Source organism: Homo sapiens, chromosome 12 (assembly GCF_000001405.40).
Source record: "Homo sapiens chromosome 12, GRCh38.p14 Primary Assembly".
NCBI classification, from domain to species: Eukaryota; Metazoa; Chordata; class Mammalia; order Primates; family Hominidae; genus Homo; species Homo sapiens.
In genome coordinates, this window is record NC_000012.12 from 42536072 (window position 1) to 42562480 (window position 26409).

At 40.2% G+C, this 26409-nt stretch overlaps 1 protein-coding gene across 3 annotated transcripts in view, besides 1 other annotated feature; it reads right to left on the bottom strand.

The window, feature by feature from the left end:
* PRICKLE1 (prickle planar cell polarity protein 1) overlaps window positions 1-26409 on the bottom strand; it is a 132990-nt gene that overhangs the window by 79315 nt on the left and 27266 nt on the right. The gene's annotated exons all lie outside the window — the stretch shown is intronic.
* Window positions 17114-17613: an enhancer, noted in NCBI's record as "H3K4me1 hESC enhancer chr12:42946987-42947486 (GRCh37/hg19 assembly coordinates)". NCBI's record gives its function as "activates a minimal SCP1, AML or CMV promoter by ChIP-STARR-seq in primed H9 embryonic stem cells {active_cell/tissue: H9 hESC(primed)}" and the evidence as "EXISTENCE:reporter gene assay evidence [ECO:0000049][PMID:30033119]".

Consider the following 26409-nt stretch of genomic DNA (forward strand, 5'->3'; position numbering starts at 1 on the left):
TGCACAGAAATATCACCCACTGAACAGTGTGATGAAACGCTCAAATGTGCAAAAGCCAAAAGATAAAGAGAATGGAAAAGATGAAAAGATCAGCATCTGTAGTAGTAGCAATTATGGGCAGAAAGACTTAGACACTGGAACTGAGGGACTCCAAGGGGACTTTTGTCTATTTCCAGAAATGAAGATGCTAAAGAAAGAAATTAATCCAGGAAACTGGGGATAGAATGTAAGGAGGGACACCACAAAACAGGGCCAACATTAAAAATGCCTCTTGGTGATGCAAACTAATGTTAGGTCTGGGAGCTTTTCCTGGTTTTCACCACCCCTAGATCCTCCAGCTGATTTCTCCTTCCAACCAATTCCTGTTTCCTCAGATCAATTCTCCATCCAGCTCCCTCTTCAGCGGAGTTGGACATTAGCTGCCTTCCTGAACTCACAGTCCCGTGTCCTGAAACTAACCAAGGGCTCCTGGGGTATGGTTTCCTATATTCTTTTGTGTCCCAGTCTTCAGACCTGGACTTTTTCTTTGGTTCCTGCTACACTGCTTAGTTCTAACAGCTCTCTCATCTGACTCCCTGAACTTATGTGTAGAAGTTTCTCATTTCTGAGTTCCTGAACTCTGCTCACCTGGGCAAGATGCTGCCACTTTCTTTGGGTCATCTGATGCCTGAATAGCCCCTGAGCCCATCACTGTCTTCTCCTACCTCTTCCCATCCCTCTTGTCCACCCTTTCATCTTGAAGAGCTTTTCTTCACTTGGTGTGCATAGTTTTTGCTCCATTTGCTATGAGGACTCATTAAGTTTCATGTTCATATAATGGCAAATTTTATCCATCTTTGGGAGGGTTACTGGTACGTATACATATTATAATTAGCAATGCTCTTAAATTAACTCTTTGGTAAAACTACATGTAATCCACCTATAGAGTTGTTTTGGCTCCTCTTGATTCTTACATTTACAAAAATTTCAACATAAAGATCCTATTTAGGTGTTGCTAAATTAAAACACCTCACTCAACACAAATATGCCTAATAAATTATCTGTTTTGCTTTACCTGGGGCCTAAGTAGAGACTTTTTTTTTTTTGAGACAGGGTCTTACTCTGTCACCCAGGCTGGAGTGTAGTACTATAATCATGGTTCATGATTCATCACAGTTCATCAATGTAGCCTCAACCTCCTGAGCTCAAGTGATCCTTCTGCCTCAGCCTCTGGAGTAGCTGGGACCACAGGTGTGCACCACCATGCTCAGCTAATTTAAAAAAAAATTTTTTTTGGAGAGACAGGGTCTTGCCATGTTGCCCAGGCTGGTCTCGAACTCCTGGGCTCAAGCGACCATCCTGCCTCTGTCTCCCAAAGTGCTGGTATTATAGGCATGAGCCACCATGCCTGGTCATCTGAGACTATTCTTAAACAAATCTGCCAGGGAACAAAAACCCAAACCAAACAAAACGCAGTAATATTGACCATATCAAACAGGCTTGAATACCAACTCTGTTTTACTGAATATTTAACCATCACTTTGATTCAATCATTCAACAAATATTTAATGAGTGTTTACTGTGTACCAGACAGTGATTGAAGCCTTGGAGATTTAGTGGAAAACAAGACATTTTCTGAATATTTCATATGTGCTGATTAGCAAACTACGCTCTCCTCCTTTGTGGAACCACTACTTGGTAAATTCAACTTTTATCCCTTCCTGTGCTTTGGGGACTCTGCCCAAGATACACTCCCAAAATGGCATGTCCATCTCAGGACTCACTTGTTCAAAGAAGCATTCTTTCAACCAAACAATCGTGTAACAGTAATACTGAAATAAAACAATGACATAATGCAATGAAACCTATCACCTATAGATAACAAAACTGAGGCAAAGGGAAGTTAAAAACACTTTCCCAAGGTCATCCAAAGAGTGTCTGTTGGGAGAAGTATTAAATCTCTTGACTCTTAATCTAGTGCTCCTGGCTGGGTGTGGCTCACATCTGTATTCCCAGCACTTTGGGAGGTTGAGGAGACAGGATCGATTGAGCTCAGGAATTCGAGACCAACCTGGGCAACATAGGGAGACCCTGTCTCTAAATATATATATCCAGTGCTCTTTCTTCTCTTTCATTGTCCAATATAGTAGCCATTAGGTCCATGTGGCTATTTAAATTTAGATTTAGAAATAAGAATCCAGTTCCTCAGCTTCACTAGCTACCTATCAAGTTGCTCAACAGCTAGTAGCTTCATACTAGGCAGCAAAAAAAAATAGATGGTCTCCATCATTGCAGAAGGTTCTGTTGGATAGTGATCTGGGGTCAAAAACACAGTGCTTGTATTGTTCTGACTCAGCATTTCTCAAACTTAAATGTGCATAGCATTCACCTGGAGATGCTGTTAAAATGCTGATTCTGATACAGAAGGTAGGGGTGCGGGGGTGGAAGTGTTGACATTTTACAATACTAATAAACTCTGAACAACAGAACTGCTACCGGTCAGAGGATCACTCCATGTCCCGAGCATGGAGTATCAAGATTCTAGCTCATCATTCTTTTTCCCTTCTCTGAACTTCTACTAGAGTTAATACCATATGGTTTAATGCCCTAATAGTTTGATGTGTATCTTTTTTGTCTTCCTAATTAGATTTTAAGCTCATTAAGACACAGAACCACATATTATTGCTCTTCACATCCCTAATTAGGGACCACACAGTGTAGGGATACAAGGGAAGTAAGTTTTCCTATCTTTAAGTGCATTATATATGATGCAGTTTGTTGCAAATTGCTGCAATGTGACACATAAATACAGTTTCTTGTTTCTTTTTTAAAGACATTAGGTCTTTTATCTAACCATTTATTGCCTTAGATTTCCCAAAAGTTAGAGAGTGGTAGCTATGCTAGCTCAACTTCAAGAAAAAAACATGGGAAGTAATTCTGTTTAGCAGATTTAAAATGAATTTTAAATTTTAATATAGCATACATCAAATAATTTAAGAAATAGCTGGAAAATATAATGTAATTTGATAGCTGAAGGAATGCTGAATAGTATCCTGAAAGTACAAAAACTTGAACGTCAAAGTTCTGTCTTGAAGTTAGAAAATGATTAAAATATTCACAAAAGTAATACAATCTGGCTGGGCACGGTGGCTCACGCCTGTAATCCCAGCATTTTGGGAGGCCGAGGCGGGTGGATCACGAGGTCAGGAGATCGAGACCATCCTGGCTAACACGGTGAAACCCTGTCTCTACTAAAAAATACAAAAAATTAGCCGGGCGTGGGGGTGGGCGCCTGTAGTCCCAGCTACTCGGGAGGCTGAGGCAGGAGAATGGCATGAACCTGGGAGGCAGAGCTTGCAGTGAGCTGAGATCATGCCACTGCACTCCAGCCTGGGTGACAGAGCGAGACTCTGTCTCAAAAAAAAAAAAAAAAGTAATACAACCAGAAACTTTATCTGTGTTCTTATATTACTGAGACCTTCTATTTTACCCTGAAATAGAGAGCAATGTCTTTGAATAAGACAGCTGCTGTCTTGTTATGAGCACAATTCTTATGATGGCTTTCCATCCAAAATTTCCTATTTTTCTAGAAATCTCAGCAATCACTATTTGTAATCAGTTATTAATTAAAAGCTTTAGAGTTAGGTTTATAAAGTCAGTCATTTTTGTATTTTGAAAAGTCACATATTTATGCATTAAGTTTTTTTAAAGAGTCCTTTGTGCCTTCTTAAATGTATTCCTGACAAAGCAACAAGAAAAAAGTTTTATTAATGCACAAGACTGAAAGAAATGTCAAGTATGCTAGGGTTCTGGTTTTGATTTTGGACTTCAGAGAAAGTTAAAGAAACAGTGGAACACTGCCTTTAATTACAATCTAATGTCCTGGAGAATACTTGATATCTCTCCCAGTGGGCATTCTAGGCGGTGTGAGAAGAAAATCAACTGTGATCAGTACAACATAGACTCATTCCACCTAGTCAAGTTAATCAGGGATTATATTGTGTGTACATCATGAACCTCCCTGGTTTTGTTTAAGATGGTGTTTTTCACATTAAAAGATGGAAATGTTTCAAGAGTTAAATCCATAGCTTTACTCATGCTACATAACATAAGCCAATAAAAGTTTGTGCTAAGATTCCTCAAACTCCCACTTCACTGTGGAGAGGATAACTGATAGAATGTTTCCCTCAGGAGGAGATAAGCAGCTCTGATAGAAAGATGGCTGCAGTGTCACAGTTAAGAGTTTGGGTCTGAAGTTGCTACCTGAAAACAAATTCTCTACTCAGCCTCCTCATCATGTTGGTCTTAGGAAAATTATCTCTTTAAGACTCAGTTTCTTCATTGGTGAAATGGGAAGGCAAGGAGGATTGTTAGGAGCATTAAATGCAATACTGACCATATGGCACTTATAGTAAACAAATATTTAGCATATAGTAAGCTTTAAATGAATGCTAATTATTTTTTATTATATCTGAAAGATATTTATCATAGCTTGGTGGTCATGAAATACATATATATATATAGTTTTTGAGATGGAGTTTTGCTCTTGTTGCCCAGGCTGGAGTACAATAGTGTGACCTTGGCTCGCTGTAACCTCCGCCTCCCGGGTTCAAGCGATTCTCCTGCCTCAGCCTCCCAAGTAGCTGAGAATACAGGTATGCACCACCACGCTGGCTAATTTTGTATTTTTAGTAGAGATAGGGTTTCACTATGTTGGTCAGGCTGGTCTCAAACTCCTGACCTCAGGTGATCTGCCCACCTCAGCCTCCCAAAGTGCTGGGATTACAGTTGTGAGCCACTGCGCCCAGCCAAAATATTTTCTTCTACCTCCATCAAGCCTCCTTACTCCTTAAGATCCTCTCACTTTGTGGTTGTATTTAGAAATCTTTCCTCAAATTATACAACATATCTATTTATGGGTAGAATAGAGAGGTATTTGGTTTTTTTTTCATTTAAACAAGTATGTTAGCTGCTCACTTGGAATTGCTCTATAGCCCCCATTCAGAGATAAATAATTCAAAGAACTGAAGTACAATTTCAAGAAATATATTAATATACAAATACAGTTGGTAACATAAGATGCACTTTTCCAGAGGAAAACTTTTAGGCATCGGTTGCTGAAATGAGGTCCAGATAGCTCAGAACAAAACAGAAGTTGGCGATTATATGCATAATTTATACTATATAAGGAAAAAATTACTCAGATCACAAAGAAGATTGTTTTTGTCCTCAATTATCTGGTTTGGTTGTTGTTTCCTATGCAAAAATCATGCCAACTCTACTCTTCTCTTTTTTTTTTCTTTTTTTTGAGACAGGGTCTTGCTCTGTTGCCCAGGCTGGAGTGCAGTGGTGCCATCATGGCTCACTGCAGCCTCGACCTCCTGGGCTCAAGCAATCCTCCCACTTCAGCCTCCCAAGTAGTCAGGACAGGTGCACACTGCCACGCCCAGCTAATTTTTACATTTTTTGTAGAGATGGGGTCTCACTATGTTGCCCAGGCTGGTCTCAAACTCCTGGGCTCAAATGATTCTCCTGCCTCAGCCTCCCAAAGTGCTGGGATTACAGGCATGAGTCACCATGCCTGGACCCCCACTCTTCCTTTTTTGAGCACAGAACTGTTTTCCTCATCAAAGTCAAGAGACAGCAGTCCCAGTAACATCCTCCAAGGCTGGCCAGGTGACTGTCACTAGCCAAAGAGCTTGTGTATCAGCACAGTCAGGTGAGAAAGGATCAGAAGTGCTTGTTCCCTACATTAGGCTGACCTTTCCTTGAAGGTAGAATAGTGAGCATGTTCACGTTTAAGATCATGTTTATGACAGAGCAAGTCAAGAAGGGGATCCATGCTCCCCTCTAGCCATAGGGTTCAGGAAGCACAGAGCCAGGAAGAGAAACGGGCTTGCAACATCTCATTTGTGTAGTCCTTTCAAGTTTATGAAGTCATACTAGAACTCACTCCGAACATAGTCCTCAGGGGGCTAGTATAATTGTTTTATCTTACCAAGAAAATGAAGCTATGAGAGGAAGATGGCTTGCCCAGGAAATTTCAGCAGCCTAGTAAGGAGCAGAGCTAGAAGCTACTCCCTCATCACTCTACGAACAGGGTGTGAGAAGACAGCTAAGGGGGCAGAAATGCCAAGAATTTTGATATGATGGTGTAAGATGTCACCAAGATATGGCTTGTGTGGTCTTTGGTTTTTTTTTTATGCTGTCAAAGAAAGTAAGATAAAACTAGGGCTTTTATATGATTTTTTTTCATAATGTTATTACATATTTAATCTATATTCAATATTCTCAATTTGTTTTAAAAATTTATTTTGCGGCCAGGCACGGTGACTCATGCCTGTAATCCCAGCATTTTGGGAGGCCAAGATGGGTGGATCACCTAAGGTCAGGAGTTCAAGACCACCCTGACCAATATGGTGAAACTCCGTCTCTACTAAAAATACAAAACTTGGCTGAGTGTGGTGGTGCATGCCTATAATCCCAGCTACTTGGGAGGCTGAGGCAGAAGAATCGTTTGAACCCAGGAGGCGGAGGTTGCAGTGAGCCGAGATCATGCCATTGCACTCCAGTCTGGGCAACAGAGCAAGACTCTGTCTCAAAAATAATAATAATAATTTGTTTTGCCTTTGTTGTATTAAAAAATGTTTTAATAGAAGCTATTTCTTTCTCCTAACCAGGATCCAATAAGGTTGTATTTTGCATTTTGCAGGACAGTTGTCTTACAGAAGGGCCCACATTCAAGATTTGGTTGTTTACGTTAACTTCTAACATATTCTGCTAGCCCCTTGCTATGGTCTGAATGTTTGCGTCCTCTAACCCCCAAATTCATATGGTGAAACCTAATTACCAGTGTGATGGTTCTAGGAGGTGGGCGATTGGGAGGTGATAGGTCATGAAGGCAGAGCTCTCACAAACAGGATTCATTGTCCTTATGGGAGAGGCCTCAGAGAGCTGCCTTGCTCTTTCCACCATATAAGGACACTGCGACAGGCATCATTTATGAACCAGAAAGCAAGCCTTCACCAAATACCAAATTTGCCAGTGCCCTGATCTCAGGCTTCCCAGTCTTCAGCCCTGTGAGAAATACATTTCTGTTGTTTATAAGCCAGCCAGCCCAAGGTGCTTTGTTACAGCAGTTCAAATGAATGAAGACACCCCTTTATTTCCTATAAACTGTGTAAGGCTTGCTAAGATTCAGGCTAAATGTTCTTGAAAAGAAGATTTCACTGGTGACACTGTGTACAGTTGACACTTGAACAATGTAGGTGTTAGGGGCGCTGACTTCCTGAGCAGCCACAAATTCATGTATAACTCTTTTTTTTTTTTTTGAGATGGGGTCTCACTATGTTGCCCAGGCTGCACTCGAACTCCTGAGCTCAAGTGATCCTCCTGCCTCATTCTCCCGCAAGGCTGGGACTATGGGTATGTGCCACCGCATCCAGCTCTACATGGAACTTTTGACTCCTCAAAACTTGTTTTTTTCTTTTGAGATGGAGTCTCGCTCTGTCGCCCAGTCTGGAGTGCAGTGGCGCGATCTTGGCTCACTGCAAGCTCCACTTCCTGGGTTCACGCCATTCTCCTCCCTCAGCCTCCTGAGTAGCTGGGACTACAGGTACCCACCCCCATGCCCAGCTAATTTTTGTATTTTTAGTAGAGGTGGGGTTTCACCGTGTTAGCCAGGATGGTCTCGATCTCCTGACCTCGTTATCTGCCTGCCTCAGCCTCCCAAAGTGCTGGGATTACAGGCGTGAGCCACCGCACCCGGCCAACTCCTCAAAATTTAAATAATAATAGCCTGCTGTTGACCAGAAGCCTCACTGATAACGTAGTTGATTAACACATATTTTGTATAAGTATTATATACTGTATTTTTACAATAAAGTAAGCTAGAGAAAAAATGTTAAGAAAATCATAAGGAAAAGAAAATACATTTACTATTCATTAAGTGGAAGTGGATAATCATAAAGGTCTTCATCCATGTCATCTTATGTCAAGTAGGTTGAGAAGAAGGAAGAGAAGAAGGGGCTGGCCTTACTATCTCAGGGGTGGCAGAGGTGGAAGAAAATCCACATATAAATGGACCTGCACTGTTCAAACCTGTGTTGTTCAAGGGTCAACATTGCTGCCCATCAAGAAACATACTAGGCTGCCTCACTATTTACAAATTTACGAGTGATCACTTGATTATGTTGGTCAGCACCAGATTTTTCCATTAGGAAGGTATGTATTTTTCTTTATCAGTATATGTAAAGTATAGCTAATTATATAGTAGATGTAATTTTTTTTGTAGTCTGTCAATGCACTATTCCTCAACAATCTTCCCACTTTTCCAGCTAATTTTTGTTGTATTTGTCATCTATCATCACTAACAATTAAAATCCTCTGCAACTTTCAGGATTTGGGCTGGGAATCTGCTGAGGCAAAATCTCCCCTACTCCCATCTTCCCATCTCCCATAATGTTAACATTTATGGACCTAACTTCAGGCCCCTAAAGATAAGCCAAGTAAAAGTTAGTGAACATTACCCTTTGCAGGACAGGAGAGTTCCATCAGGAAGTTCCCTCTCTACCAAAAACTCTAAAGATAATGCTAACCCTCTGATAGAACTAGTTATGCTCTTAAAAATTTTTATTTTTTATCTTATCAAAGTAATATATAAGTACTTGTTTTTAAGAGCAAAATAGTGAGGGCTAAAAAGTCTTACAACAGAAATGGTAGTTACCTGGCTGCTGAAGGCAATCACTTTTGTCTCTTTGTGCTATTTCTTCTGAGATTTACCTCTACATTTCAAAATAATATGTAGAGACTACCACAGTTGATTTTACAACTTGAGTCTGGTCTGACCTCCTGTTATCACATATGAGGATTAGCTGCTTTCCTTCTCCTTGCTTTGCAGGAGAAGTGGAAAAGAGCTCCTAGGACTACCACGCTGAATTTTTTTTTTTTTTTGAGATGAGGTCTTGCTCTGTCACCCAGGCTGGAGTGCAGTGGCAAGATCATGGTGCAGTGGTATGATCATGGCTCACTACAGCCTCAACCTCCTGGGCTCGAGTGATCCTCCTGCTTCAGCCTCCTGAGTAGCTGGGACTACAGGTGCGCATCACCATGCCCAGCTAATTTTTTTATTTTTTGTAGAGATGGGGTTTCGCCATGTTGCCCAGGGTAGTCTAGAACTCCTGAGCTCAAGTGATCTACTCAGCTTCTTCCCCTCAAAGTGCTGGGATTACAGGTGTGAGCCACCATGTCTGGCCTCACACTGAATTTTAACAGCACCTAGCACATAGTTAGTAGGCACTGAAAAAAACTTGTTGAATGTCATTCAATGAATGACACACATATCCAAATGCACAAAGCCATGCTGCATTCTGCAGTTTCTCATTGTAAGAATGTACTGGGCAGAATGGAAGAGAAATACATAATTTCCCAAAGTCTCATGCATTAAATTGTTTATTTGTATCTTGTTTTAGTATGTTCTTGGAAAACATTAAAACTGAACACACTAAAATATTTTGGGACTGGGTGCGGTGGCTCACGCCTGTAATCCCAACACTTTGGGAGGCCAAGGCAGGCAGATCACTTGAAGTCAGGAGTTTGAGACCAGCCTGGCCAAAATGGTGAAACTCTATCTCTACTAAAAATAAAATAAATTAGCTGGGCATGGTGGCATGTGCCTGTAATCCCAGCTACTGAGGAGGCTGAGGCAGGAGAATCGCTTGAACTCGGTAGGCAAAGGTTGCAGTGAGCCGAGATTGCGCCATTGCACTCCAGCCTGGGTGACAGAGCAAGACTCCGTCTCAAAAAAGAAAAAAAAAAAATATATATATGGAAGGAAAAATATATCCATATATATATATATATGGAAGGAGGGAGATTCTTGAAAGTTATTTGAATGACTTAGTAAAAAAAAATCTATAGTCAAAAGATTTTTTTCAAGTAATTTCTTAATCAGCAATAGAGAAAAGAATTTAGATGTAAAAAAGCAATCTTTCATAAACACTGACGAACAAACATGCCAGAAAATATATAGGAGATCTTCCCTGGAGTCAGGTAGGCTCAGAATTCAGACCTTTGCCTTGTAGAATTTCAAAGCCTGATGCCAAGCCAAAAAATGAAAGAAGGATGTATAAGTTATGAATACTCTGAAAAGACTCCCACCTCATTAATATGTCTCAAAACACATTGCTTAAGGGTAAAGTTAATTAAATCACAGTACACATAAATTTGAAAAGGACTGGTAATCAATCACAGACAAAATTATGTTATATTGAGACAAAATGAGAATAGTGGACATAAACAAAAATTAAGTGAAAACAGATTCACACAATGGAAGGAACTTTTCACCTGACTTAATGCTGACTCTCTATGCTATCCAGCTTTCAGGGATATTTGAGGCAAACTGAGTAAAGAATTAAATATTATTCTTCACTTGAGATCTTTTAAAGTAGTGAATCTCATTTTGGGAGGCTGAGGTGGGAGGATCACTTGAGGTCAGGAGTTTGAGATCAGCCTGGCCAACATGGCGAAACCCTGTTTTTACTAAAAATACAAAAATTAGCCAGGTGTGGTGGCATGTGCCTGTAATCCCAGCTACTCGGGAGAATGAGGTGGGAGGATTGCTCGAACCTCAGAGGTGGTGGTTGCAGTGAGCCGAGATCATGCCACTGTACTCCAGCCTGGGTGACACAGCGAGACTCCATCTCAAACAAAACAAAATAAAATAGTGAATCTTCCATTTAGCACTTGATAATTTCTTAAGCTGGCTATAAAACTCTTAAATTTACTGGCTGAATTATGCAGTTTTGTGGCTTTTTCGAAACCTTTATATGTGTTTTCTTGTTGTCTGTCCTTGGGCCTTTCACTTTCATTTCAACTATTTTGCAAGAAAAGAAAAGAAAGAAACTTGAACCAGCCATTCTTATTACTTGTTAACAGTTCTGACAAAATATACCCCAAGTTTTTGCTTGTTTTGTTTTGAATTAGCTGCAAGTTCCAAGTATTCATGCATTCTCACTAATATAGGAACAATCAACAGGAGGTGTGAAGTTACCTTCTGTAGCTGGAATAATTTCTATCCCTGAAAAGTTATTTCCCTGATAAATCTTCCTCCTATAACATAGAAACTTAGAATTGGAAGGGTCTTAGTAATAAGCTACTTCAAACCTTTACTGAGGCATCTTCCTAGCAACTACTACTAGGAGGAAGTGATGTATGGTGGAAAGAACAAAGGTTTGGGAGACAGACAGACCTAATTAATAACCCTGGTATGCCATCTAAAACTTTTGAATTTCAGTTTATTTATCTGTAAATGAGGCTAGCAAAAGGTATTCATGAGGCCCTTGGGCAGATTATGTAATATAACAGATGTACAAAGGCCAGCAGCACCATGCCATGGATAAACCGCAGGACTTGGAGTTGGAGCTGAACCCAGCAGGGTCCTGTCCCAGCTTTGTCTCTTCAAGGCTGTGTGTTTCTGGACAGGTCACTTATCTTCTCTAAGGCCCAGTTTTCCTATCTGTAAAATGGGAAAAAATACACCTAATTCTTGATACTATTTTTAAAGACTGAATGGGATAACGTATACTATGCTCAAATAATATGATCTATTATCATTAGGTCAATTCAGATTAAAAGCTAGGAGCTGGATAAACCCACTTCCAAGGTTCTCGGATTAACAATGTTATATACATAATAAAGGCAGCTATGTTTATAACTGATAATGTTAATTTACGAGAGGAAAATCAAGGTTACACATTCATAGTACAGGTTAAGTATCCTTTATCTGAAGTACTTGGGAGAAGAAGTGTTTTGGATTTTTGATTTTTTGAATTTTAGGATATTTGCATATATGTAATGAGATATCACGAACATGGAACCCAAGTCTCAACATGAAATTTAATTATGTTTCATATACAACTTATACACATAGCCTGAAAGTAATTTTCTACAATATTTTAAATAATTGTATGCATGAGACAAAGTTTTTAAATTTTGTTTGTTTGTTTTGTGTTTTTTAATAGAGATGTGGTCTCACTATGTTGCTCACACTGGCCTCAAATTCCTGGGCTTACGAGATTCTCCTGCCTCAGCCTCTGAAAGCACTAGGATTACAGGAGTGAGCCACTGCGCTCAGCTGAAACAAAGTTTTAACTGCAACCAGTCACTTGAGGTCAACCAGTTACTTGAGGTGTGGAATTTTCTATTTGTGGTGTCATGTTGGTGTGCTCAAAAAGTTTCAGATTTTGGAGCATTTCAGATTTTGGATTTTTGAATTAGGGATGCTCAACCTGTATATGCAGTAGAAAAAACCATCCTATATTTTAAAATTTCTCGAACATATTAACACATATATATTTATTATGTGCTTCGTAAGCATAAGTCAATATAGAAGACAAAAAGCGGGGAACCCAAAGAGGGTCATAGGGTACTCCTGAGAAGACACCCATCTAGAAGGGGGTTGAAGGCATCTATGCACACTGGAATAACTAACTTCACAAGTAGCAAATGCTAAATGGTAAATAAAGGGTGCAAAATAATAAACACTACAGGAGTTCCGAAGAGCAAAGCTAGGCTCACTTTCAGAAGGTACAGTCAAAAGAAGAGGAGGTGGGATTTGTGTTGAGTCTTTGAGGTGGGATTTGGAGAGGAGGTGAGTAGCATGGAGGTCATTATTTCAGATGGAGAGAATGTGCTATCCTGTCCATCCCTCACCTCCAATTGAAACTGATGACAAGGATGCAAATATGAGTCTCAGAAGATTCCATCACTTGGTTTAAGAAGAAGGGTGAGGCCGGGCGCGGTGGCTCATGCCTATAATCCCAGCACTCTGGGAGGCCGAGGCAGGTGGATCAGTTGAGGCCAGGAGTTTGAGACCAGCCTGGCCAACGTGGTGAAACCCTGTCTCTACTAAAAATACAAAAATTAGCTGTGTGATAGCTTGTGCCTATATTCCCAGCTATTTGGGAGGTTGAGGCAGGAGAATCGCTTGAACCTGGGAGGCAGAGGTTGCAGTGAGCTGAGATCGGGCCACTGCACTCCAGCTTGGGCAACAGAGTGAGACCCTGTCTCCAAAAAAAAAAAAAAAAAAAAAAAAACCTAGATAAAGATCACCTCTCTCCATAGAAAGCTAGGAAAAAAACCATTAGGGGCAATATTAATGAACAATTTGCTACCCGCCCAGCGTTCCTCATTTCCCAGATGTGTATGTTATCAAACTGCTGAAGCTTGGTTAGGGGTAAGAACACACATCAAACTGGCCATAGCTGAATCCACATCCTAAGGAATTCGCATGACTACAACATAAAAAGTTAAAGAAACAAGAAAACAAAGGTGGAAATACCTGTTGTTAAACTTATCTTGACATAGTTTCAGGAGTCATGTGCAGAGTTCTCAGGTTAGGGTTTACTATGACTCAAAGCCACATCTTTCCTTTAGGGTCCGGGATCATGGAACCCACCCCTACCTCTCACTGACATCTCCACCTCGATGACTCAAAGGCACCACACATTCCCTATCTCTAGAATGCACAAGCCTCCTCCCAACAATTGCCTAAACCCAAACCTACAAGTCCCCATAGACCCTTCCCTCTCTTCCCTAGCTTGTGTAATAGATGGCTCACTTATCTCTCCAGTCCGTTTCCACCTCCTCTAATCTATCCATACACCACACTGCTGCCACATAGAGTATCATCTACAGGATAAAATCTGAACTTCTTAGCAAAGCTCCAAAGGGCATCATTATCTGGCCCCAGCCTATCAGTCTGACTTGAGCTTCCAACATGCTTCCCTTGAAATTTGCATTCTGGCAACATCTAATTACCTAAGAGGTCCTTGAGCTTAACCTGCTTTGGGGGCCTCCCTGTCTTGCACACACTCTTCCCTCTTTACTATACTAACAACTTGGGAAACTTCCACTCATCCTTCTAGCCCAAGCTCAAGTAGCATCTCTGCTCTGATTCTTGTTTGACACCTTTGCACATGCTGAAATGCTCCACTGTCCATGTACCTCACAGTATTGCTATTGTTCACAAGGTCAGACTTTGCACCCACATTGCAAGCCCCTTGAAATCAGGGACAAAATATTTTTCTCCTTCTGTCCTCCAACCTGGCACACAGCAGCTCACCCAAACAAAAATCTGTTGAGTATAGTGGCACATGCCTGTGGTCCCAGCTACTCAGGAGGCCAAGGTGGGAGAATCGCTTGAGTCCAGGAGGTCGAGGCTGCAGTGAGCCATGATCGCGCCACTGCACTCCAGCCTGGGCAACAGAGCGAGACCTTATCTTAAAAGAAAGAAAGAAAAAATCTGTTGAGTAAATGACTGAACTTTAAAATGAGGAAAAGAAGAAGCAATATCATTTGGTTAAAACCAAGAAGTTTGAAGAAATTCACTGGAAACATTAGTTTATTTACTGGAAGAGAAAGGGTGACTTGCATAAGGGTATTCTCTATCAGTTTATCCTTTCTTTGAAACTGCCAACAAAATAGTCTCCCAAATGTCGTATTATAGGGCAAAGAAACACAGTGGCATTTGTGGAAAAGACATAACCCCTATAGTACTACCTGAATTTACAGAGTTTTTGAACTGTTTTCAACTGCTACTCAGATTTATCTAGAATATTTCCAATCCTCTTCCTACTACAAAACAACAAATCAACAGAAAACACCATAAAAACTTAGAACCAGCAAGTCAACAGAGATTTAGCAGTAACTTAGCTTTGAGAACGCTCGAAGTTACTTTCAAAGCCCATCTATAAAGGAGGAGACATTATAAAATTGTCAAGAGAGTTTCTCCTTTTTGGCATACCTTGACTAACAGGGTGACACACAGATTCCTGCCTGAAGTACTAGGGCTGAACTCTAAAATCCTCAACTTTTGAGTGTTTGGTTAATTGCAATCATTTACTTTCCTTGGGAATTAATAGAAACCATCTGCTTAATGATAAAGCTGAGCTCTGCAATTATTTGAGGAAAAATGTGCCACAGTCAGCACAAAAAAGCCTTATTGAGGAAGCCTGCTAGACTATGTATTTTTTTAATAATTAAAGCCAATTGCATTCATTAATTTTAAAATGCCATTGTGATCAGCTAACTCTTTTTAAAAATTTATCAGCACCACCCTTGTTAATATGCACCTATGCAACCTTCAATTTTAAACTTACGGTAGCTTAAATAACTATAATTGTACAGATGGTTGTGATCACACATCAGAATGTTGAGGTGATCATGAGAAAAAATAAAGATGGAGAAATAAATGTCTACTGTGAACCACATATCTGCCTTCTGGGTCTGATACCTGTGTGTAGCAGAGTTATTTTACTTCCTAGCAAACAGGAAGATTGTTGTAAGCACTCCAAACAAACTGACTTTGAACTGGTCATCAGTCAAAGCTCCCAGTAATACTAACTGCAGTTCTGCTAGCAGATGTGGAGGGTCCCAGAAAAACAGGCAGCTTTTGTTACACAGCAGCCTGCAGAACAGGAAGAGCCAACAAAGTCCCCACTGAATGGCTGTAAATATTGATCCACCTGTAAAGAATAAGGGTGCCATCTCTGTATGATGGCAAATAAATAAAGAAGGAGGAGAGTGGAGGAAAGAGAAACACACACATTAGGGCCAATTGCTTGAAGCTGGTTTCTTCTCCCTGTGTGTGGCCCAAGGGAAGAGGAGACGTTTATTTGGACATCCTCTCTTCCAAAAGGTTGGCTGTCTGATTTTCAATGGGTCCAATGCTAGAGTCCAGTTAATTTCATAAGCAGACACCATATAGTTATGAAGCAACTTAATAAGGATTTTGAATTTTTAAAAGCCAGTTGGTGGGAAGCAGCTGATCCACACCACCTCAACCAAAAAACAAAAAGCCCCACTATATTTCTATGATGTTTAAAACTACTACAGTCCTTAACCTACAGTATGGCATGGAAGCTAAGAAGGTGGATTTTGTCAAGTATGACAAATACTGACTGAAATCTCCATTAGCCATTCACAACCTGTACACATTCAAGAAAGTTACTTTTTTTTTTTTTTTTTTTTTTTTGGAGACAGGCTCTCACTCTGTTGTCTAGGCTGGAGTGCAGTTATGCAACCTCGGCTCACTACAACCTCTGCCTCCTGGGCTCAAGTGAACCTCCCACCTCAGCCTCCCAAGTAGCTGGGACCACAGGTGCATGCCACCACGCCCGGCTAATTTTTATATTTTTTAGTAGAGACAGGGTTTTGCCATGTTGCCTAGGCTGGTCTTGAACTCCCGGGCTCAAGCAATCCTCCCACCTTGGCCTCCCAAAGTGCTGGGATTACAGGTGTGAGCTCCCGTGCCAGGCCAAGAAAGTTCCTTAATGTCACTCTACACTATTTCCTATTTCTGTAAAATGGAGGGAATATTAATAACAGGAAACTAAGTAAGACAATGTATGAAAAGCACTTAGTCCAGAGCCCCGAACAGAGCAAGTGCTCCACAAAGGTGGGTTCTATTTGCTTTTTTATTCTTATTGTCATTACAGCCAAAGTCAGAGAATTAGCAATAAAGTCTCAGGAATCACCAATGGGGGTCCCATCGTCAGAAGGAAGGCATCTCCTCTCTTCTTTCCAGAGGGACTTGAGGGAGGAAGTTAAGAGTTGGGCACAGAGCGCTGTGAGTAGTAGTAGCAAGCAGCACTTGTATTAGGAACGTATGTAAAGACCCTGTTTTAAATTGGAGTAAACACAATCACATTTCTGACAAATAGGGAAGTGGTCTCTTAGAATGGCCGTCCCCAATCTTTTTGGCACCAGGGACCCGTTTCATGGAAGACACGGAGGTGGAGTGGGAGTGGATGTTTTCATCAGGCAATAGATCCTCATAAGAAGCGCGCAATCTAGGGAGGTTAGATCCCTCTCCTGCGCGGTTCACAATAGAGTTTGAGCTCCTCTGAGAATCTAATGCTGCAGCTGATCTGACAGGAGGTGGAGCTCAGGCTGTATTGCTCGCTGGCCGGCGGCTCACCTCCTGCTGTGCGGCCCGGTTCCTAACAGGACAAGGACTGGTACTGGTCTTTGGCCTGGGGGTGGGGACCCCTGTCTTAGAATATGAATATTTATGTGTCATCCCCAGGTTCTTAAATTTTTTTTTTTTCTCGGCCGGGCTTGGTGGCTCACGCCTGTAATCCCAGCACTCTGGGAGACCGAGGCGGGCGGATCACCTGAGGTTAGGAGATAGAGACCATCCTGGCTAACACGGTGAAACCCTGTCTCTACTAAAAATACAAAAAATTAGCCGGGCGTGGTAGCGGGCACCTGTAGTCCCAGCTACTTGGGAGGCTGAGGCAGGAGAATGGCGTGAACCGGGGAGGCAGAGCTTGCAGTGAGCCGAGATCACGCCACTGCACTCCAGCCTGGGCAACAGAGCGAGACTCCGTCTCAAAAAAAAAAAAACTGTTTTTCTCCAAACAATAAGTCCATTGTGTTGTGTTACTGAAAGGCAAATTGGCTCTAGAATCAGGGGGTGGGTGGGGCGGGGGGGGTCTGAGTGTCCCTCCTATTCCATCATTGCCCAGGGTAACGTCACCTTGGGCAAGTTACTTAACCTCTCTAAGCTTCAGTTTCCTCATCTGTAAAATACAGATAATAGCAGGCACTCTGAATGTGATGGAGGGAGTGGTACTCTAGCAAGTTAAGACAATGGCTTGTAGGGTCGCACTGCTGGGGTTCAAGTCTGGTTCTGCTGCTTACACCAGGTGACCTGCAGCAAATCACTGAACATCTGCCTCAGTTCTCTCCTTTAAAAACTGGAGACAAATGCCGGGCGCAGGGGTTCACGCCTGTAATCCCAGCACTTTGGGAGGCTGAGACGGGCGGATCACCTGAGGTCAGAAGTTAGAGACCAGCCTGGCCAACACAGCGAAACCCCATCTCTACTAAAACATGTAAAAATTAGTGGGGCATGGTGGCTGGCGCCTGTAATCCCAGCTACTGGGGAGGCTGAGGCAGGAGAATTGCTTGAACCCGGGAGGCAGAGGTTGCAGTGGACTGAGATCCCACCATTGCACTCCAGCCTGGGCGACAAGAGTGAGACTCTGTCTCAAAACAAAACGAAACAAACAAACCAACAACAACAAAAAAACAAAACAGGAGACCAAAACACCCATCAAGCTGTGGTGACATTAAATAAGCTGATACTATACAGGGTCTTAAAACAATTCATTTTGTTTATTGTTGTGAAGATTAAAAGAAAGAACGCATGTAAGTCTTGATATGTTATGTGCTCATTACATAGTGTTCCTCATTCTTATTGTAAAGGAAATAGAAAATACAAATGACTAAAAAAAGGAAAAAGTAAAATAACCCATAATTTTACATTGAAAACTTAGAATTCAGCAAAGCCGTATACAAATGACCAAAATGGTAGTTGGAGAAAAATTCTATTTCCAAGAAAACTATGGCCATTGATTTCCCTCGTTATCTTTTTAAAAGGAGATGGAATAGACACTGATGTCTTCCAAAGGTGGGAGATGACTTTTGTATTTCCCTTTTAGACTCGTTTGCAGTTTACAAGTTACTCAAAGGGCGAACTGGAAACCTGTGAGGAAGAAAAGCATCACAAGAGGTGAGGCAAATTCTTGCTAGAAAAAAAGGAAGTTTCAAGTTTAAAAAAGGACTTTTAACCAAACCCAAGAGAATAAAGGAGTGAATTTGCTAATGCCAGCAAAGCCCAATTCTCTTCGTGGTGAAGGTTATAAAACACAGAACTTTCCCACTAAAACCGAGGCTCACGTTCTCTTCACCAACTCTTTCCCTAAGGTACTGGGCAACAAGATGAAAATTCCTCTAGTTTAAATAAAACAAAATGGACTAGAACTTATTTTTTTTTTTTTTCTTACACGAGTACCTCACTAGGTAGTGCAATATGGACACTTAGATGGGATGGTTCATTTAAGTGTTGCTTTGGGTGGGTAGCTATCAAAATTCTTCAAACTCCTTTAAAATACATAAATTCTCAGGCCGGGCGCAGTGGCTCATCCCTGTAATCCTAGCGCTTTGGGAGGCCGAGGAGGGTGGATCACCTGAGGTCAGGAGCTCGAGACCAGACTGGGCAACATGGTGAAACCCTGTCTCCACTAAAAATACAAAAAATTAGCCAGGTATGGTGGTGCACGCCTGTAATCCCAGTTACTTGGGAGGCTGAGACAGGAGAATCACTTGATCCTGGGAGGCAGAGGTTGTAGTGAGTCGAGATCACGCCATTGCACTCCAGTCTGGGTGACAAGAGCGAAACTCCATCTCAAAAACAAAACAAAGCAAAAAGCAGTAATTTCTGTTAGACTACAGAGGAAAATGGAATAGACTTGGCCCAACTATTTTGGGGTTAAATAGTATTATTGTGGTTATAGATGCGAAAAACAATAATCTTTATGTAAGAGTATAAAATCAGTTTAGCAATGTTTCTTTTCATTGCTTTTCTTATTCCCACCTTTAAAATTTAAAACCTTTCACAACATATATTTACCTGAGTATTACATACCCATAATTAGCTTTTTCTTATAAGGGAACACAAAGATCATTATTTCAATGTTTTGTTGAGTTTCAAATGACACAGAGCTCAGAGTTGAAAATGTTCTCATTATGGCTTTTTATAGCTTAACACAAAATTTTGAGATAGAACAAATGGGTATTTGTAAGGTATAATACATTCTAAATATTTTAACAATTAATAAAGGTAACAGTAAAAAATAGCTGTTAAAAAAGCATCCCCCTAGAATCCTTCTAGAATGGCCATTATTTCTGCATAGCATTTTCTTTATATACCACTTGGTTGTTCAGCATTAGCAATAACCTCACTCCTAACCCAAGTGCATATAAACCTTCTATTATTCTAAGGGCCCAGAGAGTAAAAAGAATTATGCCTTTCACTATTTAATCACCAAATTTGATTTTCTTTACAAGTAGCCTGAGGTTAGGTCTGTAACATTATGTATCTCTTAATTCCACTTTGAAGGTAAGCAAACATTTACCACCTCACTCAGTTGCTAAATACAATCCATATTATTTTCTGTAATTCAGGCATAAAGTCCTATTGATTATGTGCAAGTGGCCACTTACTAGGTTGCCTTAAGCAATTGATTGTTGAATTTGCTGAATGAGCGTCTCTGGCCTTGAGAGAAGCAAAAAGCTACAGACTTCATTACAACCCTCTCCCTGCATAAAGGGTTTCAATGTTTCCCAGGCCCAAGGATGACGCCTCAAATGTTTGTGAGGCCAGCAAGACCCTGGAAGACCTGGCTCCTCCCCTTTGCCCCATTCCATCACAAGACATGATCATCTTTGTTCTTTCTAATAACAACCACCACCATGACCATCACCACAATAATATCTATACATGGCCTAAGTATTTTATACAATTCATTTAATCATAGAATCCCACCCTGTAAGGGAGGGATTATTATCCTCACTTTATAGAGGAGCTTCACTGATTTGCTGGAGATCATGCAGCTACTATCTAAGCGTCATGGCCAGGGGTCAAACACAGGCTCTTGAGCTCCAGGCCTGTGCTCTTGGATCTAGATCCTTATTCAGAAATAGGATCCAGTACGAAGTAGGGACCTTAATGAATCTTTATTAAGTGACTGAACAAATGAGTTTTATAATTAGTCAAGAAGTTTATATAGTCAAGTTTATAATTAGTCAAGAAGTTTACATAGCCAATACCCAACTTCTTGACTTTCCAATATATGTACATGCCTGATGGGGTGCAAAGAAGGATTAAAATGGATAATGCAAAGATATGGGTTTTGCAAAATTGAATGTTCTTCACCAGTAGTTTTTATGCTTTGCTCAACAATTATTTCTGAGCACCTACAATGTGCCAGGCACCCAGACTAGAATAAGACACTGCCCTGCCTTCAGAGTTTATGGCTTAGTTTAGGACAAAGACCAAGGAATGAACCTTTATTTTGTTAAAACAAAATTTCTGTTTTTTTTTTTTTAAAGAGGCAGGTTCTTACCATCTTGCCCTGGTCTAGCACTCCTGGGCTCAAGTGATCCTCCTACCGCAGCCTCTCAAGTGGCTGGGACTACCACCTTGCCTGGCTCAAGGCCTTTACTTTCTACCAGAGTGGTGACTGGTACATGGAGTGACTGGTACATTGAGTGCTACTCAATGACAGGAAGATATGCACCTAGCTAAAATAATGGTTGAAGGCTTTTAAAATAAAGTCAGTTTATTCAATACATAGGCATTATCCTTTAAGCTTTTGTGGACTGGCTTGGGGACAGTGCCTGGACGGAGAAGCAACTCACTTAAGTGTCTGTTAAATAGATGAAAGAAGGGCCAAATGAAGGAAGCAAGCTAACCCTATCTGGTTACATCGTTTGGGAAAACGCATTTCACATTCTAAATAACTTGCCAGCTCAAGTAGCTCAATTTGTGTACAAGAGCAGCAGATAATCTCTAGTTTGCATCGTCCCTCCCCAACATATGCTTCCCTGAAAATTTGGGGTGGGGGGAATCAGTAATCAAAGTAACAAACAGAACTCCTCTCTTCCTTTCTGAAAATGCTCTATTTTTAAAAGATGTCCATGTTTGTTCATTTAAAAGTTGCTTTAGGAGTTAGAAAAGGCCTGGATCTATCCCTATGTTATCCATCATGCACAATGCATGGAAGACTTGAGTGATTACAATTCTGAGGTTTCTGTGGGAGTCATCTTGTTTTTATAAAACTGGCAAATCAAATTTTAGGTTTCATGACTGTTTTATGTAACCATGCAGAGTTTTTCTCTCTCTCTGTGTAAAAGGCTCCTCAAACACACACTAAGCTACTCATTCCAGAATCATCACAATCTTTTCAATCAAAAAGTGAACAGCTTTGACATTTTAAAATAAGAGACTGTTGCTTTCAGAATTTGATTAGACTATTCTAATAGCAGGCTAGAGTCATTAAAATTGGCTTTTAGAGAGACACTTCACGTGCTTAGTAATTGGCACATCGGAGTGATGACAGCCTCCAAATCAGGCTTCCGAGTAAGTCAGTCTTTATCTAGTTGTCTTTAAAACTGGATAAAGGCATGTCTACACAAAAGCCACCTACTAGAAATGTGTTTCAATATTGTTTAACCACTCATACTATGTACCTTTATAACAAGCTGGTGCTATTTTACATAAATAAAATGTAATACTTACACCTTAGATCAATGTATACATATTCTCATATAAGAAATATAAAAGATTTTCTGTGAAATATTCGTGCTACCGTAATTCAAAAGTAACACACAAAATGAATTTAATAAACCTCCTCTTTGTCCATTATTACCATGAAGGGTGTAAAAGGGAGGCAACAACCAATCATTTGTTAATGGTTTGGTAGAGAAATGCCAGGTTAATTAAAACAACAACAAAAAAGGCACAATGTTTCCTAAGATTTACTACCATTTTATGGAAGGGCAAACTTTCTTTAAAATTCCAGATGTGAAACTGCCTTAGGAAAATTCCGATGCTGTTGTGGAAAATGCAGTGAAGGTCTCCAACAGGACCCTGCTTGCCTGGGTCCCCCAGCTGGCTTTACCATGGGCCAGTGGATGCCAGCCGTGAGTGAACACCGGACCACAAGCTCGCTGTCTTTGAGCTACTAAACTACAAAGCAACACTTTCTTTTAAAAGTCTTCTAGAGAAAGTAATAAAGTGCTATTTCTTGGCTTTAATGACCTTATTTTCTTTTAAAGAACTTTGTTTTTCTGCAGAGGAGCTAGAGCTGAAAAGCATGGTTGATATTGTATAAAACTCAGCAAATGAGCACTACAATGAGAAAGTAAATGACACTGTTCAAAGAGCAAGTATATGGAATTAGTTAATTTTTCTTAGTCAATCAAATAGCAAACAGGCAGAGATTAAAAAAAGAACAGCTAATATTTAACCAGGTGAACCAAATCGCATGATTGTATAAATTTTTCATTTGCAACAAGTCCTAGCTTTCAGGCTGCAATATACAGTGTAGATTTCTGTAGAAAATTAGGAAGTTGGATTACTAAGGAGTTCGAAAAAGGAGCCCTTCTACTTCTAAAAAGAAAATCAAAGGACAATGAGCTCAGGCCTCTTGTGAAGGGCTAGACATGCATCAGAATTCCTACAAAGAAATCACTTTTTCTTCCTTGTCCCTACTATCATATCTCATTTCAAACTGTTTCCTGGTGGCTTTTAGAAAACATTAACCTATATAAGCCATTTGAACTGTCAGAGACCTTAAATTCAGAAGAGCTATTTTGATGTCAAGATGCTTAACTGCACCTTCCTAATTAACATGTACCAAAGTAAAGCCCACTCAAGACTTGCCATGCTAACAGAAATATCCTAGTTTCTCTTTTTAAGTTTTTAAAAAACTTTCTCAGAGACAGGGTCTTGCTCTGTTGCCCAGGCTGGAGTGCAGTGGTGCGATCATAGATCACTATAGCATCAGACTTTTGGGCTCAAGCGATCCTCCCACCTCAGCCTCTCAAGTACCTGTTACTACAGGCACGTGCCACCATGCCCAGCAAATTTTTAAAAAACACAAATGTATATATATATGTGTGTGTTTATGTGTGTGTGTGTGTGTGTATATATATATATATATATTTTTTTTTTTTGGGGGGGGTAGAGATGGGGGCCTCATTATATTGCCCAGCCTGATCTGGAACTCCTGGGCTCAAGCAAACCTCTTGCCTTGTCTTCCCAAAGCATTGGGATTACAGGTGTGAGCCACTGCACCTGGTCTGGTCTCTCTTAAATACAGGCAACTGACCTACCCCTTGGCTCTGGTATTGATGCTCCCTGATTTGATTGATTAAACATGTCTTTATCAAGTTCTCACAATGGGGGAACTTACATTCCAGGTGTGAAGTTTGGAGCCTGTGCTGAAGGGTTTTTTATATGATACACAAATTATAGGCAAATGAAACAATCCTATCATGTTCCCTAAACATTATTTCACAAAATTAATGTGCTAACCAATAGCTCTCTGTACACTGGAAGGAAAAGAACAGGAACCAGCTCTTCAAACTTAAGGTAAAGTATTAAAATTTAGATATCACAGATAATTGGGAAATCTCCTTTAATTATTATTATTATTATTATTATTATTATTATTATTATTATTATTATTTTTGAGGCAGAGTCTCGCTCTGTCGCCCAGGCTGGAGTGCAGTGGTGAGATCTTGGCTCACTGCAACCTCCATCTCTCAGGTTCAAGCAATTTCTCCTGTCTCAGCCTCCTGAGTAGCTGAGATTTGAAGTCCCACCATGCCTGGCTAATTTTTGTATTTTTAGTAGAGATGGAGTTTCACCATATTGTTCAGGCTGGTCTCGAACTCCTGACCTCAGGTGATCCACCCGCCTCGGCTTCCCAAAGTGCTGGGATTACAGGTGTGAGCCACCACACCCAGCCTCCTTTAATTATTTGGGTATTTACATTATCTGACATGAGTATTCAAACTTATACCATTTCTATTATCTGGGACTATTTGTTAGACAGGGTGGAAACAGAAAGAGAATATGTGACCCAGTTTTCCATTAAAAGCTAGCATTTATTATTTCTATATTTTATTCTGGACTAGGCAGGTATTTACTTTTGTGCTTTGCCATGGCTGAAACCAGTATCCCCAACCCTATCTCACATATGGCTCTTACTATTCACAACTAAGGTTAGACAAGGGTGGATGTGCATCTAATTCTAGAAAAAAAATCATCCCTTAAGCTTGGCAGGTCAAAAGCCCATCTTCTCACACACACACACACACACACACACACACACACACACACACACACACACAAAACAAAAAACACATGCTCTATTGGGAATTCTTATAATGTAATCATGCTGTTAACTTTGGTTAATAACATAAAAATTATTAATAGAGTCCTATCCTCAAAAAGAACAAAAATGTCTTACAGGATTTGTGATGCCTGAAATGCTATAAATCTCTGAGGACAGGTTATATCCTTCCCTCTTCCTTGAGGCATTTGTCACAATTCCAGACAAGATTAAAAAGAGATAAGCCTCAGAAACTTTTGAAGATATTAGAAAAATCATGTTAGGGAAGTGACTTAGAGGTTAGACTTCAACAAACCAACACCCTTCAAATGTCTACCACTAATAATAAACTGTCATCTGCTACAGCAAGATGGTGGAGACTGAGCCAACAAGGGACTTATATTTAGTAATAACCTTTATTCTCTTTTCCCTTTGTTGTGTGTGTTGCAAGCGAAAGATCTATTTTTAAAAATAACACAATAGAAAAGTAGCAAGTAGACAATGGCATTTTTCACTAATAGACCTTTCTAACCACTCCACATCACTTTTCTGACCTTCTTTCTTCTACCAAACTTTCTGATTACTCCACCCAAGTTTTTCTCTTAAATACTATTTTTTCTACTCCATTCAACTTGTAAGTTTTGTAACAGTTATAGAATTGCTTACTGATGGCATTTATCTTCTATGAATATGTGTTTTCAAATGTGTTATTTACTGTAGAAAGGTTTATTCTGTCCAAGAATGTATAAACTAATTCTGTTCAAATTTAAAGATTAGATTTTTTAAGGCTCAAAATAGTTTTTAATTACAGGTTAATATGTCTGTTACAAATCCTCACCAGAGACTTTTTCAGAGTAGACAATGAAATGTATTTTATTTTCCATTTTAGATGTCAATTTTTAATGAAAATGACTCAATGCTTACACACAGTAACCATGAAATATTTGTGTACAGTTAACTATGAAAAGTCATGTCTAAGGCTGGCAAGGCATATTCCCAATTAAAAATCACACTGACAATTTGCCAGTCATTGAGCTCCCATCTTACGGCTACTCCAAAGAAAATAAGCGAAAATATGATGTTCCACTAATTTTCTTTTTCTTTTCTTTTTTTTTTTTTTTTTTTTTTTCCAGACAGAGTTTTGCTCTGTTGCCCAGGCTGGAGTGCAGTGGCACGATCTCGGCTCACTGAAATCTCCGCCTCCTGGGTTCAGGCTATTCTCCTGTCTCAGCTCCCCGAGTAGCTGGGATTAGAGGCACGTGCCACTGCACCCAGGTAAGTTTTGTATTTTTAGTAGAGATAGGGTTTCCATGTTGGCCAGGCTGGTCTCAAACTCCTGACTTCAGGTGATCCGCTCGCCTTGGTCTCCCAAAGTGCTGGGATTACAGGTGTAAGCCACTGTGCCTGGCTCCCACCCATTTTCAAATCAGTCAAAAGGCAAAGATATCTTATTGTTTGTGCAGTAGAAAATTAAAGTATATATGCTAACATGGTAATAGTACAAAAGGAATGATTAGGACAGGGAAGGAAACCTGACTAGAGATTGTGAAAAAGATAATGAAACTCAATTCGAGGATGTAAAAATATTAATAAACATTTTTAAAAAGGCAGAGTTAAAATATATTATTTACATATTAGAACTAAAGGAAGGTAAGAAAAGTTGCAGATGTATTGAAAGCAG